Source organism: Homo sapiens, chromosome 4, assembly GCF_000001405.40.
Source record: "Homo sapiens chromosome 4, GRCh38.p14 Primary Assembly".
Classification (NCBI taxonomy): Eukaryota; Metazoa; Chordata; class Mammalia; order Primates; family Hominidae; genus Homo; species Homo sapiens.
Genome location: NC_000004.12, coordinates 140853625 through 140871781, shown reverse-complemented (window position 1 = coordinate 140871781; position 18157 = coordinate 140853625). Strand labels below are relative to the sequence as shown.

Below are 18157 nucleotides of genomic sequence, written 5' to 3'. Positions count from 1 at the left end.
TGAATGAATCTATGGAATCTGCTGAGGCTGGTGGCTGCAAAGCCAGAATGAAGTTGAGAAGCTGTCACTGTAGGTAGCAGTGAGTTCTGTCTCTATAGAACTGTAACTAAGTCAGCTCTTTATCTGTGCTATTTTTTTTTTGGCTGGACCCATATGAAAGTCATAAATTCATTCCATTATGAGCTCTTTGGTTGACTTCCAGTTTAATTGTGAGCTGAAAATTTTGGCTTCCTGTGAACTGAGTTGATTGATGGGCCACTGCAAGAAAAGAAGTGGAAATTTAATTCCCTATAAAGTACAGCTCTCATTTTTTATCTCCAGGAATAAGATTTCAGCTTTCATTACACCTCCAAGTGGGAATTCTCCCATTCGTGTATACTTGTACTAAATATACAAAAGCAGGCATTTTTTATTAAGAAAAAAATTGCAAAAATAAAAACAATTTGAAGAATTGTAAAAAAGGCAACTTTGTTTCTCAGTGGTCATTCTATCTAATAATTATTCATCAGGAACCCACTATGTAGGAGGCCCTGTACTAGATTGGCATCAACACATAAACATGCATAAACAACAACTGGAAAGGACTCTAATGCATCCAGTCCAAATTCTCATTTTCTAGGCAATTAAACTTTAGCCCTAAAGGAGAAAAACAATTTTTACAAAATAACACATGCAGTTACTAATAGCAGATGCTAGAATATAGTATCAAGTCAGATAGATTCCCAGTTCTCATAAGTATAAAGTGTGTGTGTGTGTGTGTATACATATATATATATATAGAGAGAGAGAGAGAGAGAGAGAATTCTTATTGTAAAAATGATGTTTAAGGAGAGCACTGAGTAAAAAGAGTGGACCTGCCATATGAAGCCACTCCCAGTCTCTCCTGAAATTCCACAAAAACCACAGTGAAGGGATTTTTTTTTTAAAGACAGAGCACGACATGGACAGGGAAAATGCAAGAAGAGACAATAACAAAATTTAGGCAACTGCAAAAAACAGATGAATGGTCCATGACTTAGTAGACTAGAGACACAGCAAGCCCCTGCATCTGGCTGTGTGGGTTGTGTCCTGCCCCACTTCAGGAGCCACTGCTCACTCAGACTCCAGAGTGAAGCTGTGCTGTGGAGTGGTGCTGTACACACCCTGCACAACAGCACGCCACGACCCTGCTGAGAAAACAAGCACAAATCAGGCATGGGGAAAGGGAGAACCACCGTAATTTGCACTTGAGAATTTCCCGAAGGTCAGGGATCAAAGGCACCAGGTGGCTCTGGAGAAGATAAATGAAAAGGAAGTGCACACACACACACACACACACACACACATACACGCACAAAATGAAGATGGGAGATCATATATAGCAAGCTTAGAATGTATTTTGTAGTGAAGTGTGAGGCACAGATCCAGTTTCACTTTTTTCTAAATGACTAGTTTTCTTGACTATTTGTTGAATGCCACTGTTTTTAAATACCAAAGACTTGTATCTTTATAGAGCTGCTTCCAGGGTTTTCATTTAACCATTGATCTGTTACATTGCTATGAACTTCCTGCAATTGTGGATCTAGGAAACGGATAAGAGCTAAGTCTTCAGGTTGGATATTTCCCTGTGAAATACCCCATTTCTATAAAACTGATTTTTCAGGCCATAATTCTTTGTTTGTTCTCTTATTTGTCTCCTTGAAAACATCTTAGGAATTCACTGTCCTTCATGAAACTCAGGTATTTTTCTTAACTGTGCCACATCATGAAAAAATTACATTAGCGATTATCAGAACAAAAGTATTATAACCATTATTATTCTTTAGTACTTATACATTTTTGTTGGTTTTTTTAATTGCATATTTCTTCTGCAAAGTAAGAGAAAGTACAAGACCTTTTGGGTTGAAAGCTGCCTTTATGCAGCTCAGCTCTCTGGCCTCCTCTGTCCATATTCCCCAGCTTGACTCTGCATTCCAGTCAAATTAAAAACCCTCTGATATCTGCCTGCCCACAGCTCCCTATCACCTCCAGCCACCTGTACATGCTGTTGCTTAAAGGATTATTTCTTCTTATTCATCTGGCTATAATACAGATTATCCTTTAGGACTCAGTTTAGACATTGCACCCAGTATATGGTTACATAGCCCTCTTACCTGCTCCTGTAATACCTGGTACATCTTCCATCCTGGTGCTTATCTCACTGTGTTGTAATTGCCTAGTAAATGGTCAACCTGCCCACCAGACAATGAGCTCCTTCAGGATAGGGATTGTCTTAATCTCCCCTATATCCATAGCCTCTAGCATAATCCTTAGTGTGCAGTAGGGACACGGTAGATAATGTCTTGAATGAGTAAGTGATGTATGTTCATTGAAGAGTATTTGGGAGAACTGAAAAAAAATGTTAACAGAAAATGAATATAAATCCCAACACTAGAGATGACTCTCGTTAGCATTTTTGGTTTCTTTGCTTCCATTTAACTTTCTCTGTTGACCCCATTGCATACAAAGCTTTAAATATTTCTGTTTTCACTTAACAGTATACTGTGAACGTCTTCTCATGTAACTACAAATTCTTTGAAAACATCATTTTAATGGTTATAACAACATTGTCCTTTAGAAGTAATAGGTTTATTCAGATGTTCTCTATTGTTGGACTTTAAGTTACTTGCAATGTTTTGCTACTGTAAATCATGCTTAATTGAATAGTTTTGCATCTCCAGTTATTTCTCTATAATACATCCTGGAAATGAAATTACTGAGTGAAAATTTTACAGTTCTATATGCAATGTATCATGTACCTACCTACCTCAGTGTACCCTTAACTGTAATATTATCTTGTCTTTTTTAAAGAGTGAAGATTACATAGACAAAAAAGGATATCTTATTTTTACCTTATATTTATTGGTCATTTATATTACACTCTTCCGTGAATTGTGTAATGGTAACCTTTGTCCATTTTTCTATTGAACTGTTTTTCTTATTGATTTAAAAGCTTTCTATATGTTAAGAATAGAAACCTTTGTGAAATTTTTTGCAAATTCCTGAGTTTGATATGCCTTTTGATTTTATTTTACATGTGTGTAACATTTTAAATGTTACGCATATGTAACAATCTTTTCTTCTGTAAATTACCCAATTACTTTTCTAAATAGAATTTCTTGCCCAACTTACGGTAGATATATATTTTCCTACTAAGACATATCCTTAGATGATATATTTTATTATTCTAGTTTCTTTTGTTTGCATTTAACTTTTTGGCCCATGTGAGATGAGGCTTTAACTAGAGTTTTTACAGAATACCCAATTTTTCTAATACCTTCTCTTGGCCTTTAAAGAAATGTTATTACAAGCAATTGTACTGAAATAAGCAGCATGCAAAGACATAGCTCGGTGTTCACTGTGAACTTTGCTTTCTCCTCCCAGGTGAGCAGGAGCCAGCTGTAAGCAGTGATTCTGACATTTCCTTGATCATGGCAATGGAGGTTGGACTGTCTGATGTAGAACTTTCCACTGACCAGGACTGTGAAGAAGTGAAATCTTGAAACGACAAATCCAGAAGCAAAGAGATAGTAGGACCCAAGGGAAAGGAAGGGAAGAGTGCTCCAAGACTTGGACCAGGCACACACACACCTCCAGATCACCTTGGCAACTCCAGGGCGCTCCGTTCAAGAATGCTGACGAAAAGCAATATCCAAAGTCTTGTCAATCAGGATGCAGTTTCTCCATCGGTATGGCAGTCTGTGGCCTTGGCAGCTGGGAAGTTGAAAGCTGATTTCCACTCCTATGTCCATGTAGACATACACTTCAGAAGCTCCTAAAACAGAGACTGAAAGGCCACCTTTAGGATTTCTTAGTTTCATTTCAATTCTTTCCATGTCTCATCATTCTTGTTTTTGGCATGTTGTTTGATTTCTTTGGCAATTTTTTTAAAGATTATTTGTAGTTTACTTTCCATCTATTCCTTTGTTTTTCCTTTGATGCACTCCAGCTTTTGTATAGGTTTCTGTTTAGAAGCACCAGTTCCTGCTATGATCAGTTTGTATTCCATCTCTGAGATATGTGGTCTTGACCTCCCAGCATGAAGTGTGCATGGCTTTGAGAAGTGCCTCAGCACCCTGAAATGGACTAAGGCCAGCTTTCATTAAGAATCTAAGTTCTTCTAAGTGGGCCTTTAAAAACCCCAGCTGCCAGAGACCCCAACACTAAGCCCTAAATCTGCTGAGGCCACTGCTGGTTATTTTAAGCCACATCACACTTGCTTCCACTTGCCGGGCTTGATTAAGGGCCCACGTGACATGAGAAGGGAGCTCTAGGGAAGCCGTTTCATTCTTCTGGGTCTTACAGTCTTTGGCTGAAATTCTGAACTCAGAAGTCCCCTCCAAGGCATCCAGTCTTTGGTGGTTGTAGGGCTGGTTTTAAAACCAGATACCACATTTTCTTCCTATTGAAAACAAAATGCCAGTTGCATTGGTTTCCCCTGGGCTAGAACAGTTTTTTTCTTACCTCTGTAAGTGGGTTCTGTAAAAAATGGAGGCTTTAGAGAAAAGCCAATCATTTTTAAGTCCAATGGCAAACATAGTGGGGGCTGCAGTAGCACCTAGCTTTTACCTTAATTTCGACACACTTCTGTTGAATCTCACCAGACCATGTGGGAGGATTTAGGTGAATCCCTAGCAGATTGCTTCCCAGGGCTCCCTGAGTGTGTCCAGATACCAAGTGAGGAATGAGGTGTGATTTGCTGTATCATTTGAACCAAAAAGTATGCAGCATGAGAATTTGCTAGATCGTTTATCCTGACTGAAATAGACAAAGTAAGAGGGAAAGGAAAAGAGGTATCAAGTAAATACTGAAACCCAATGGTGTTTTTAAACTGTTTCTGTTTTTATTCATCTTTTGTAACTATGACAGAAATGTGCTATTTTTTCAGTGGGCAATTTTGTAATATATTCAGACTATCCAGATACAGAGATGACTAAGGTCATTGATAGCGTCTCTGAACAATCAGACGGATCACCTTATCTCTACACAGCTGGCAAACACCAGGCTGCGGCTTGGATTAACCAGGAAAGAAAGCTTTTCTCACTGAGTTGTTTTTATGTATTGATGGGGACTTTTCCACCTCATTAGACTAATACTCATTCAAAAAGAGTTTGGTTCTGCTGTAAATCCTTGCCGCCTGCTGAAACATGGTGTGCAGGTCAACGGAGAATACTAGCTGCTCCTTTTTCACCACCTTTACCAATTTCCTATTTGATGGTTTGTAAGTAGACAGTAAGGCAAGGCAGATGATTATTACCCTCAGAAAGGTTGCATCTCCCTAGGAGTCCAATGCTTCCTGTAATGAAATCCACTCTCTATGTGTGGGAAAAGAGGCAGGGAGGAATGAAGAGAGCTCTGAATCGAGAATCCTAGATGAACCACACGCTTTACTAAGCCTCGGCTTCTTCATCTATAATGTGAAGGGTTTAATAACATGAGTCCCCAAGCTCCTCTGGCTGTGGGACCACAGATGAGTCTTTCAGAGGCAGGATCCATTTTTGCAGATAGCTATGACTTGTGGCAATCAGGCTTCGTAGCTTGGGGAGGTAGAGTTACTTGACATGTATCATGTAATAACAGCCTTTGAGACTTGGCACAACTATGGTGCTGAGAATGAAAATCTAAATGATTGAAGTTTTAAGTCCAAGTAGGAGTTGGTTTGTTTTGCCTTGTTTAAAAATTGCTGTTAGTCACAGAGTTTGCAATCTCTGGATACCTTCAAATCCTAGCTCTCACTGTGGGATTCTTGATCTCAGAGGTGTTTATTTTTCACAGTCAGCATAGGCTTGCGCCACTGACTCCTCCTTCAGTCGGCTTTGCCCAAAACAAATTTTAGTATTACTGGTATTAAGTTTAGTCCAGTGGAATTAGAAGGATAATTCAATAGCAACAGAAATATAAATTATATTCCATTCCCAGAGAGAGAATGCGCTTTGGATTGTTTAGTCCTCTGATTAACGAGTATTTTCTCTTCCTGCCAAGAACTAGGTGAATCAGGAATTGATTGCATATGCAAGCCCTGGCCACAGCTGCACTTACAGGATGCCTCATAGACGATGAGGGGTCTGAAAGGCCAACCCGAGGCTGGCAGATCTGACCCCAAGGAGGTCCTGCTGCAAACCCCCTGAGCCTTTGCCATTCACTACTTACCAAAGTTTGTTTCTGGAGGATTTTCCTGTAGCTTTGATAGTTTAAAAAAAAAAAAAAAAAGAAAAAAAAAAAGCTTAACCAGAAAGTTTCTCTTTCAGAAGAAAGGGGAACAGCCCTTCCTTATAGCCTTCTTTACCTCCCCCAAAGAAGAGACTGACCTGGAGACCTGGTAGTCTACAGATGAGTGTCAGAGGGTGTGTGTACCCTCTAGAAGCAAATGCAGACTGTATGTGTATTTGCAGATGTGCATTTTTCTATAGCAAGAGTCTAGACTAGCACTGTCCAACAGAAACGTAATGCAAGTCACAGACATAATTTTAAATTTTCTACTAGCCACATTTTAAAGTGTAAAAAGAAACAGGTAAAGATAATTTTAATCATGTACTTTAACCTAATATTGTTTCAACATGTCACTAATGTAAATTAATGACATGTTTTACATGCTTTTGTGTACTAAGTCTTCTAAATCCATTGTGTCTTTTACACTCACAGCACCTCTCAATTTGGATAGTCACATGTGGCTAGTGGCTGCCAATTGGACAATGCAGGTCTAGAGTTCCTCCAGTATTCTCACAAGATCCCCCGACCCTTACAAAAGAAAAGAAGGTTAAAAGCTTAATTACCTCCAGGGAGAACTGGACACCACCCAAGTCGCCTAATGAGAGGCCCAGAGGTCCATTTATTTTGTAGTGAATAAAGATTCAGGCACCCTTTTTAAAATTTCTGCTTGAACTTTCTAACCATATCATTGATGTCCATGACCATTTGTTGTTACTCCTCTGACCAGTTGTTACTTAAAACTCACACAAACCATGCTGATTTGGTGCTGAAACAAAATTATACCCCTCACTTCTATGGCAAACCCTCGGACTGATATGTGGCACTTAGGAGCCAAAGAGAACTCCAGACTGAAATCACCCAACTTTACCTCAACCCCTTCTTCTTGTTCATGGTTGGTGAAAGTCCTTTCCCAGTGTCCCCCAGTCCCACAGCTGTAGTGAAAACTCACGAACTTGGGAGGAAAGAATGAGAAATGCAAGACTTTATGTGGCCTTCTTGAAAAAGAATCTTTGGGGGCCTGTGATCATCCGGTCTCTACTTGGTGAATTATGACCACCTCCAACAGCCAGCATTTTACTCCAAGTCAGCATCCACCTGCCACCCCAATGCTATGGGGAAGAAAAGGAGCATTTGCATTCACTCAAAATAATTTAGGGTCACCTTTAGGAACTGCTACCTCCTATGTGGCTAGTCCCTTTGGAAGAGCTGAGCCCTGACTATGAATACAGCTTTTGAACATTGACTTAATCTCTAGGGTTAGATATCCCCTGCAGTGTCAACTCTGGTCATCTACACAGGGAGAGGTAGAGTCTGGAGAAGGCAGAAAATTAAAAGCGGCAAAGGTACCTACCCATTTTTGACATCACATGGTAATGATCAGAATCATGGAGGCAAAGCTCTGTCCAAAAATGTTCATTTTGTTTTGTTTTGTTTTGTTTTCTTGTTTTTAACATTTCCTTCATCCTGGTGAAATATCCTGGAAATTCATAGATCTGGGTTTGGTCATTTCAAAGCTCACCATGCCCAGTGGCCATTTCAGTTACTGCCCTGACATCCCTGAGGCTACCATACTCTCAAAACCAAATCAATGCCAGTGATCTAACATAGGATTCTTTCTTATTTATGAGTTTTGTTTAGATGGATATTTTTGCAGAGCATAAAAAATTAAATGACATTTAGTTATCCATTGAATGTATCACCCTGACTTAAAAAAAAATCCTTAAATCAAAACTTTTCAAAAAATCTGGGCTATGGAGTCACTCCCTCTGTGGAGCGAGAGCCCAGTCTTTTCTGGTACTAAGGCCACAGAGGCAATTTCCAGTAGCATTTTTATATCTTCTCTAAGTTTCTTTTCCTTTTCTGTCTGTATCTGTTTTTCTCTGACTGCCTATATCTTACTTTGTATACCCATACATAAATTATTTTCCCATCTTCTCTCTTCCCCTTTTTTTCTGATTTGTTTTCTCTCTTGCAAGAAACTCTGAAATAACCTTCAGAACACAAAAAACTGGAGGTTCTATACCTACAGAGTCATTATCATTATTGTGATTACCATTGTTACTGTTGTTGGTGTTTTTCCTCTTTTTATTGTGTAGCAATATCCATATTCACTTCTGATGAGGCAAACCTGTTTACTATAAACCAATGTCCTCCCTAAAGGAGTCAGTTTCATTTTCACTTCTCACATCACCAGTTGTATCGCAACCCATCTTACAACCATTGCCATGTTTTCAGGCTTCCTTGCCATAAATGTTTTCTGGGCAAATAATGGCAAAGCAACAATTCCAGAATGCTGTCTAGATCTGCTTTCTCCCACCCTCAGCATTTGACCCTCCTCATTCGCCTGAGCCCCCAGGGTTAGGATTTCTTGGAAAAACTTGTATACTGTACCTGATGGAATGCCCATTCTTCCTAACTACTTAGCACAAGTGCTTGCTCATCGTAAGTGATCTGAGGGCCACTAATTCCTGAAGACTGACAAAGAGACACGAAGAGACTACCCTCTTAAGATGGGGATGCATGGTTCTTCATGCAGTGCTCTTGGCCACCGAGGTCCTTCATCCATGCCATTGCATGGATGAATACGTTTGATGTTGGCAGTTAAAATGGGATGGGAGTGTCACCCTGCAGGAAGTAAGAAAAGAGGATGGCAGGATCTCTGATCAGGGAGCTGGTCAAAGCAGGGCTGGAAAGCTTCTGTGCTTAACAAAATGTGCGTGCTGTCCCCAAGTAAATGCTCATCCCTAGGTTTAGAGCTGACCTGGGTTTTGGGGAGTTTGTATTTTTAAGGAATTAAATACTCATGAGTTAAAATACTCATGATTGCAAAGAAGGTCTGGATTGCCTGAAAAATAAATTAATTCTAAGAAGCTAATATGAGTTTCTCATCATCCCTTAGCTCTTCCTTTTCCCTCCTTTTGTCCTCACTCAACCCCAGACCCTGTGTAATAGGAACATTAATTTTTAAAGACCCACAGATCAATAGCCACACTCTTCCACTCTACACCTTTTATTGACACCAAGTTATCATCCCAGAACTAATGAAGCAAGTCCAGATGCTAGACGTGGCCCCTTAATATCGAGCAATTTGATTGCAATCCTGCTTGTTCTACAAGAACCTGCTAAGGTCAGTCACATCTCTCTTCACCTGCCTTGAGTGCTTCATAATCACGTGGCTTTTTCAGGAATTTCAGTGATCAAAGATCTTCTAATTCTGTGCTACCACTGACGTTTGCACTTAATACAGAGCCATTTGCTCTGTGGCCACCTGATAAATATTTGCTGATGATAAGACAAAAATATACACGTCTATTAAGAGGTCTGCAATGTCTGAACACAGTGAGGGAGAAAAATCCTTAGAGAAGGTCGCTTAATCTCAATTACCCAAAGTCATTGCTTGGCAGAATATCTGTGGTCTGTTATCCTTAGTGAAGTGACAGGCTTGGAGAAGCAGGGTAATGTGGGGACCATGTGTGCTATATAAACCAAAGACTGATCACCATCCAAATGAACACATGTTTCTTCCATTGACTAGTTGAATTTTCTCCCAATGTTCTCATAAATAAAAGCGAAGGTGGGTTGCATGGTTGAATGAAACCATTAAACCTTATGGGGTTTTCTGTTGCAGACTGTTGATTGACCTTACTAAATCCCGAAATCTAAAAAATGAATTGTGGCCTTAGTACCACACCATCTTTAAAGTCTAGTGTTTAGTCCCCTTTTCCTTCAAAACTTTCCAACAAATCTAGCGCTTTACTGAACTCAGAACATTGTTCTCTTTGAGAATGTGAAGATTTTAAATAGCCAAAGAATTTTCATGTATAAGAGCTAGCTAAATATAGTATATCCTGCTCTTTCGAAGAAGATACAAAACTGTTGCCTGTACTAATGGGTATAGTAGAGCAGTTGAAGAACTAACACATACATGGACTTTTCGGTCTGAATTTGTGTTGGCATCCATGGTACTTACTGTTCAGTAGGATGTTATTGCAAGGAGCAGAGTGCCCTCTGCTGGAGTAATCGCAATTATTCTTGCAGCAGATTAATTTGACTTGGGTCATGAATTCAACAACCAGTTACTTGCCTTTCATCATACAATTTCTTCGGTAGTTGAGAATTTGGTCTACATTTATCAAATGAGGAAAGAGTGTCACAAACTCTAAAAAGCTGAAGGAGACCCCACAGATCTTCTCACTGTCAGCAGCCCTTACTTCTGCAAAATGTTGAAGGATAATGTTGCTCTGTTTGCAAAGAAGATGCCTCTGGCTAGAATGTTTGTGCAGTTATAAGCAAGGGACTGCTTGTTTTTGTAAGTTATCTCAACTTTATTCTTGTGAAATTGCAAAGGAAGATCAATAAAAAGACTTCATATGAATGTAAATGGTGTGAAATACTGATGTGTTTTGTACATGTACATAATATATTTACTTCCTGCTTTCACATTAGTAATCTGAGATGGTTCTACCATTTTATAATTAGAAGGAGATGTAGGGGTGGGAGTGGGGAGGGACTGTTATTTTTATAGAGGGGTGTCCCTTACATTTAGAAAATGAAATAATTTTGTATTTGTGAAAAGTTACATTCCATCCATTTTCTGGAAAAAAAAATGGGTATTGTTCTTTAAAATGTTCATGAGCTGGGAGGATGATTATTCTGGTTTCCAGGGGAAACTCTCAAGCAGTACATATGTGATACTCAGTTTTGTAGACTGCAGACAATAACCAGCAATTGCCAGTTGCAAAAATGTGAAAAAGAAATAACTTATTTTAACCACTTTGTACAGCATATTATTTCCCACTAGAAAAAAATCTGCAAATAATGAATTTACAATTATAAATAATCAGACATGACATCATAAATCAATCTTCCTCCCTACTAGCAAGAGGAAATTCCAATGGCTTTTTTTCCATCCTAACACAAATTACTTTTATTGTAAACAAATGCTTGCAACAAAATGCTTTTGTTGTAAAATGATTGATGTTGGGGTAAAGTCTACTTAGCTTCCCCACAAGGTCTTTCTGGCTAGTCTGCAGGTAGTAGATGATGGTTCCATCTCGGCATTGTCTATCCTCTCCATATTCAGACTGTGTGACTGAGCTTCCTTGATTTATATAGCATCTGACCCAAAATCACAAAAAAGTCACTCCTGATGACATTTGCATGGGGAGTCTTTCATTTGGACTTCAGTTCTTAATTGCCGAAATAAGTACTAGTGAATTATGTAGCGTTTTTACCCAAAACTAATCTTCTGTACAAAGTTGTGTGCATATTGAGATGATTAGTTAAGGCAGTGTAGTTTTTTAAATTTTTTCTGTATAAATTTCTTTCCTTCTTCCCCACCTCAGGCACCTACCCTACTCCTTTCAGAGCACTTTATATCCCTCTTGAAATACAAAGAAATTGAAAAAAAAAAAAAAGTAACTGTCTTTAAAGGAATTTGTCTTCTATTAGGAGACACAGACTTTTATTTTGCTTTATTCTATTCTCTTTGTACTTGGAGAGCGTAATCAACTTGTCTCATAATGGGCTAGTGATGAAACAAGGGTGATAGTTGGAAACAGTCATTACAACATGGTTATTTTTGTTATATAGAAGACTATCATGTAAATAAGTGCAATCGTGTTCTTACGTACTGGCTAAAAAAAAAATATTGCAACTATAAGGATTTTTAAATGAGGGTTGTGAATTCCAGGAAATTTCACTGCAAAATTTCTTTTGGTTTTGTTTTTTAATAAAATGGAACCAGATGCTTGTGTCTGTGTCATCTGTATTCCCTGACTTTGTTGCCTATCCCTGAGTTGCAGAGGTGGTGCTATGGATTTCAAAACATCATATTTATTGTTAAATCACAATTATGTCCAAAGACCAAGGATAATAATAGCTTCCTTATTTTTCTCAGGTAAGTCAAGTGGCAGGCACCAACCTTCTCTTAGCTCTGCTGTTCTAAGGGAATTAAGAGATTTTAGCAATTCTGAAGAAGAATGGCTGTGAAATGAGCTTGAGGTGTAGTCTGGCAAGAACTGAGCACTATGCTTATGGACTATCTCAGGCAAGTTTATACTAGGCAGAGTTATACCATGGGGTCTGCCAGATGGGCTGGGGCAGACAGATTTCTTCTTTATATTTGCTAGTATATTTCTAAAAGATTTTAAATAGCAATTCCTTGGGATTCGCAAGGGAATATGAAGAAAATTTAAAAGATGGAGCCTGCTGGCCTGGGAAGGTGGAAAAGGAAGGCAGGAAAGGAGAATGGCCCTCTATTCATTGGCCTCACCTACTGGAACCTGGTAGGCCTTTGGTTGTGGCCTAGCCCCCCCGTGCCTGGCCCAGCCGAGACTCCTGACACATGCACTTGAGGAGCAGCCAGGATTGGACATGGCCAGGCAGGAGCTGTGGGTTTCACAGAATTTGCTAGCAAAAAGAAAACACAAACAGTATTGAGTGCTGTGGCCTCCTGGAGCTGCTGTAGATAAGGAAAACATTAGTGCCCGGAGGCTTTACTCAGGGCCAGTCTATGCTTAATTTGTAGGCAGGAAGATACTCTAAGGGGATTGCTGGGAACATTCATGACTATGCCAAATTAGAAGGCACTTTAGACTTTGTTTATGCTTCCATTATTGCAATGTTTATCTGCCCAGACACTGTGGGTATGAAGCTATTACCTAGGACCTGGAAACCATCCCTCCCAACTTCAACTTCCATCATCTTTCCACTAGACCAGGGATCCCCAAATGAGGAAATGTGTTCTGTGGGATGGGATATGTTAGAATTTACAGCAGGCTCCCAAGTTCAATTAAGTTGGGATAAGGCTTCATACAACTCATATTAGCTATTAATAAATTTTTTGTTTGTTTTGTTTTGTTTTGTTTTGTTTTGGTACAGACAGGGTCTCGTTTTGTTGTCCAGGCTAGTCTTTAATTCCTGGCCTCAACTGATCCTCTCACCTTGGCCTTCCAAAGTGCTGGAATTACAGGCGTGAGCCACTGTGCCTGGCCGCTATTAAAAACTTTTGAGAAGTCTTCAGTAAGGTCACTGATTTAACTCTATAATTCAGCTTTTCCTGAAGCTGATTGACAATAAAGCCCCATTTTATCAAGGGTTATGTTTTTCCACATTACACTGGAGACCACTGTGTGGAACATGTTGGTGTTCAGACTTTAAAAAAAAAAAAAAAAGCTGCCAGACATCATTTGCTGTAAATCTTGCATATTCCACAGACCCTTGCCTCTCTTGTCCCTGCTCCTAGTTGACAAGGGGAAAGTCAGGTGATGCACAGTGAGCAGTATTAGCCTGGGGCCTGCTTCACCTGGGGTGGGTGTGACCTGGGGAGAGATCACTGGGCACTTCCCAGAGTCACACGCATGCCAGGGCATCAGCCTGGCTTCACTGGGCATCAGCCTGGCTTGCTATCATGCTGTGCCTGAAGGCGGAGGCCCCATCCCACCTAGAAACTCCACTTTGTGGGCTTTTGTTTTGAGACTTAATGCAGCATATTCACACATTTGAGAATGGAACATTTACAACCCCAGATTTTGACAAAATTAAGTAGCTAAAAAAAAAAAAAAAAAGAAAAAGAAAACTCCCCACAGCTTTGTAATGGGCCAGCTGGGTCAGCTTTGCCGCTTAACTCTTATTCTGTTAATACCTATGTTTGGAGGACTGTAAGCTAAACCATCATTCAGAAGACACAGAAGTATATTTAGTTCTGTTTATTGTTATTGTTGTTTTGTTTTTAGTTTTTTTTGAGATGGAGTCTCGCTCTGTCACCCAGGCTGGAGTGCAGTGGCACAGCCTCGGCTCACTGCAACCTCCGCCTCCTGGGTTCGAAAGCAATTCTCCTGCACACAGCCTCCCGAGGAGGAGCTGGGATTACAGGCACCCACCACCACACCTGGCTAATTTTTGGAATTTTAGTAGAGATGGGGTTTCACCATGTTAGCCAGGCTGGTCTTGAACTCCTGGCCTCTAGTAATCTGCCCACCTCGGCCTCCCAAAGTGCTGAGATTACAGGTATGAGCCACTGTGCCCGACCTAGTTCTTTTCTAAGTCTAATAATTCTTTAGAAGCCAGTGTTAGTAGTGCTACTCATCTCCTTGAATAATGCATTGCAACAAATTGGGGAACAAAGGGTAGGGAGAGAATATGAGTCATTTTTGCTCTGCGGTAATTACTATCTACAGAAGAGTGAATACCAATTAAGAAACTCAGGTGACTGAGAGAGGTCTCCTCTTTATGAGACATTTTAAAACACTAGTTCCATCATTCTTAGTGATCCAACAACAGAAGCAATTTGACCTCTTATTTCATCACACTCACAGGTAGTAGAGAGCCTCCACCAAGTCTCACTGTAAATCTTTGTTCTTGGCTGTGAGAAGAATCAGGGAGAAAGACCTTTCCACCGAGCCACCAAAGATACCATGGGGACCCTCTGCTCACTGTGATTGCATCTCCCCTTGTTGGCTTTCAGTCACAGCACCCTAGCAAAAGAAGGTGCCGTCCTAAATCTCCAACCAGTGGTAGCCTGTATCTGCTGGCATACAGGGAGGTACAAATTAAACGCCTCAATCTCTTCGGACCTTCCTGTTATGGAAGACACGCCCCACCTTCCCCCACAGGGAACATGCCTGATTAGTCATAACCCTTAAACTAATCACTCCCGCTGTGCCTCCCTCTAACATTCCCACCTTCTTTGTTCTTAAGGACATTTACTAAATAGGCAAGGGGGAAAGCAGAGCCAGGTTTCATTGGCGGGCAACTGCACTTGGTTGCTATGAGAGCTGTATACACACACAACACAGCTGTCATTGATATTATAGATCTAATGGGAGCCAAGGGTCTCAAATCTCTAAGGAGAAAAACATAATTCAGAGCTTTGGCAATGGTATCCATGTCTATAAATACATGTGAGAGCAGAGAAGTGAATTAGAGAATGTTAGAACACAATAGAGTTAGACCTGAGAATAAAATTGCATCACTCTGGGCCTGGACCTGATGTTTTTTATGCCAGCAAAACTCCCAGTTAAATATAATTTCAGGAGACCTTTACCTGAGATTGAGGTATAATGCCAGGACCTAAACACACACAGGACCTGACTCACAGAGCTTCCTTTATGATAAGGAAAGTTAAAGGTAGTCCATTTGCCTCTTATCATATTTTCTTTCCCTCTTTTTTATCTCCCTTGTTTGAAACAAAAAGGTGGAGAGGAAAAGGGAGGACATTAATGAGGGATGGACTCAGGACTAGAACTTGGGTTTTCCTGACTCCACTGCCAGAGTTCCTTCGGCAGCACCATGCTGCTTTCATAAATGGGTAAGCACCTCCTGACCACTCAAAAATATAAGGAATGGAAAGCAAGAAAAGCTGCTGGGCATGGTGGCTCGTGTCTGTAATCCCAACACTTCGGGAGGCCAAGGCAGGAGGGTTGCTTGAGGCTAGGAGTTTGAGACCAGCCTGGGCAACAAAGTGAGAGCGCTGTCGCTAGAAAAACATTAAAAAATTATCCAGGCATGGTGGCATGTGCCTATAGTCCCATCCACTCAGGAGGCTGAGGCTGGAGGATGACTTGAGCCGAGCCGAGCCAGGGATGTCAAAGCTGCAGTGAGCTATGATTGCACCACTGTACCCTGGGTGACAGAGCAAGACCCTGTCTCTATAATAAAAAAAAGAAAACTGAAAGTTTATGTATAGGAAGATTATGTATAATCAGGAAACACTCCCTGAACAGGAACAAGTCTAGTCTGGAAGTACTGGAAGTAGAATAGGATGATGCAACCACTGTATATAAGCAGGGACACCTGCAAACACACACACACACACACACACACACACACACACACACACAACCCACAAGGTGAGTCCCCACAGAATGCTAATTTTAGCTATGCAAGGAAGCTCATTATTTTAAGACCCCAATGTGTGTTATTTTCTAGACTCGCCCCTTCAAAATATGATTAGTCATGGAAATACTGGATAGAAGAGGGTGGTTTCCCCAGCAAAGGTACCACCCTCAAGCCTGAATACCTGCGGCCCTAAATAAGGACAGACATTCCTGTTTTTGCACCCAAAAGTTGCCTTCTGGCCCACAACGCCCCCTGTCCTGTACCCATATAAACCCCAAGCCCCAGGCTGGGAGAGAAGAGAAGGAACATCAGGAGAAGTTTGGCTGGGGATGGTCAGAGAATCAGCAGCTAGACAGCCAAACTCTAAGGAAAGATCATCTTTTCACTCCATCTCCTGTCCAGCTCCCCATCCATTCCACTGAGAGCCATCACCACCACTGAATAAAACCCCCACATTCAGCCTTCAAGTTAATGTCGGACCCAATTTTTTGGGATGGCTGGACAAGAGCTCAGGATACAGAAAGTTGTCATGCTGGCCCCCTGCCCTTGCAAAAAGGCAGAGGGCCCACTGACCTGGTTAACCCTTAAGCCATCCAGAAGGGCAAGACTAAAAGAGCACACTGTAACATGCACCCACCTGGGCTTTGGGAGTCGCAGACACCCACCCCTAGACACTGCCATGGGGCCAGAGCCCCAAAGCAGTCACTCTGGTTCCTGCACCTGCCATCTTCATGATCCTCCTCCCATAAAAGGGGTTTGAACTCACCAAACAGAGAGCCACACTCCTGTCGCATGTGTTGAGAAGGGGTGCAAGGGAAGTCTCCCATTTCAGTTATATCATACTTCCCAGCACTGGCTCACAGGCCAGTGCATAAGAAGGCCATCCCTTCTTATAGCCCTGCTATGGCACTGAGACTTGCTCGACAGGAAGTAAAGAGCGAGGATTCTTTTTCATATATTAAGAGGTGCTCAATGTCCAGAGGAACCTTCCAAGTAGAGAACTCCTAAAAACAATGGATAAAATATTAACACCTCCTTTAAGACAAAGAGCTAAGCTGGTAGGAATGTAAGATAAATTCTTGGACACCAGAAACAGTAAGAAACTACTAGTCTATTCAGAGGGGAACAGGACCACCAGAAATAGAGTTTGCCCTGGGTGCCTATGTTTATTTAGCTTTCATGATCTAGGGGTCTACAATTTTTTTCTGAAAAGATACAATTTTAAAGATAATATTTTGGGCTTTGTGGGCCACATATGATTTGTCACTTACTTCATTGTTGTTGTTTCTTAGCAACAGTTTAAAAATGTAAAAGCCATTCTTAGCTGAAAGGCCACACAAAAACAGGCCACAAGAAGGGCGTGTGCTGCTCCTACAGGAGGAGCTCAGAGACAAAGCTCAGGCTCAGAATCAGAGACTCCAGCACAAAGCCAGCACCCAAAAGAATTGACACCCTTCGTGGGTAAACTGGAAAAAAAAATATGCTTACCAGAAGGAATTGATATAAGTGTTTACCAGTGTTGGCCTTGGTTCTAGTTAAAAAGGGAAAAAGATAAAGTCTCCTCCAACACCCCAAGATACCTTAGCCATAGACAAGCCTTCTCATGGGCTATGTATCAGAATCCAAGTACTTATACGACCTAAAAACCCAAAGTACGAATTTAAACTTATTGCAAACTGATAGTCACATTCAATGTTTAGTAGAAATGAATGCATATATCCTCACTAGAGGAATACTGTTTAAACCAGGTCTCAAAGGAATTCTCACAAACCAAGTTTGAAGGAATATAAACTCACCACCAAAAGCTCAAAATACATAAGGAAACAAGTCACAGTGAGGAAGAGGGTTGCAGAAAGATTGATGATACGAGAAATAATTGGTTCAAGATATAGGGTAAGTGTTCTAGGGAACCCTACAGGTGATTCTAATGCACCTTGAAGGTGTTATTGTTTTTAGAGACAGGGTCTCACTCTTTCGCCCATGCTGGAGCACAGTGGCACGATTATAGATCGCTGCAGCCTCAAACTCCTGGGCTCAGGTGATCCTCCTGCCTTAGCCTCCCAAGTAGACCTGAGACTATAGACCCATG

The 18157-nt window shown here is 40.8% G+C and overlaps 1 protein-coding gene across 7 annotated transcripts in view; it reads left to right on the top strand.

The window, feature by feature from the left end:
* The window catches only part of RNF150 (ring finger protein 150), a 353094-nt gene extending 341119 nt beyond the window's left edge, over positions 1-11975 (top strand). For all 7 annotated transcript variants that reach the window (XM_047415998.1, XM_011532148.4, XM_017008475.2 and 4 more), the window contains one exon: positions 3403-11975. In XM_047415998.1, the coding sequence (XP_047271954.1) occupies positions 3403-3521 (119 nt within the window). In that variant the 3' untranslated portion in view covers positions 3522-11975. The remainder of the gene's footprint in view (positions 1-3402) is intronic.
* Positions 11976-18157: the final 6182 nt, after the last annotated feature.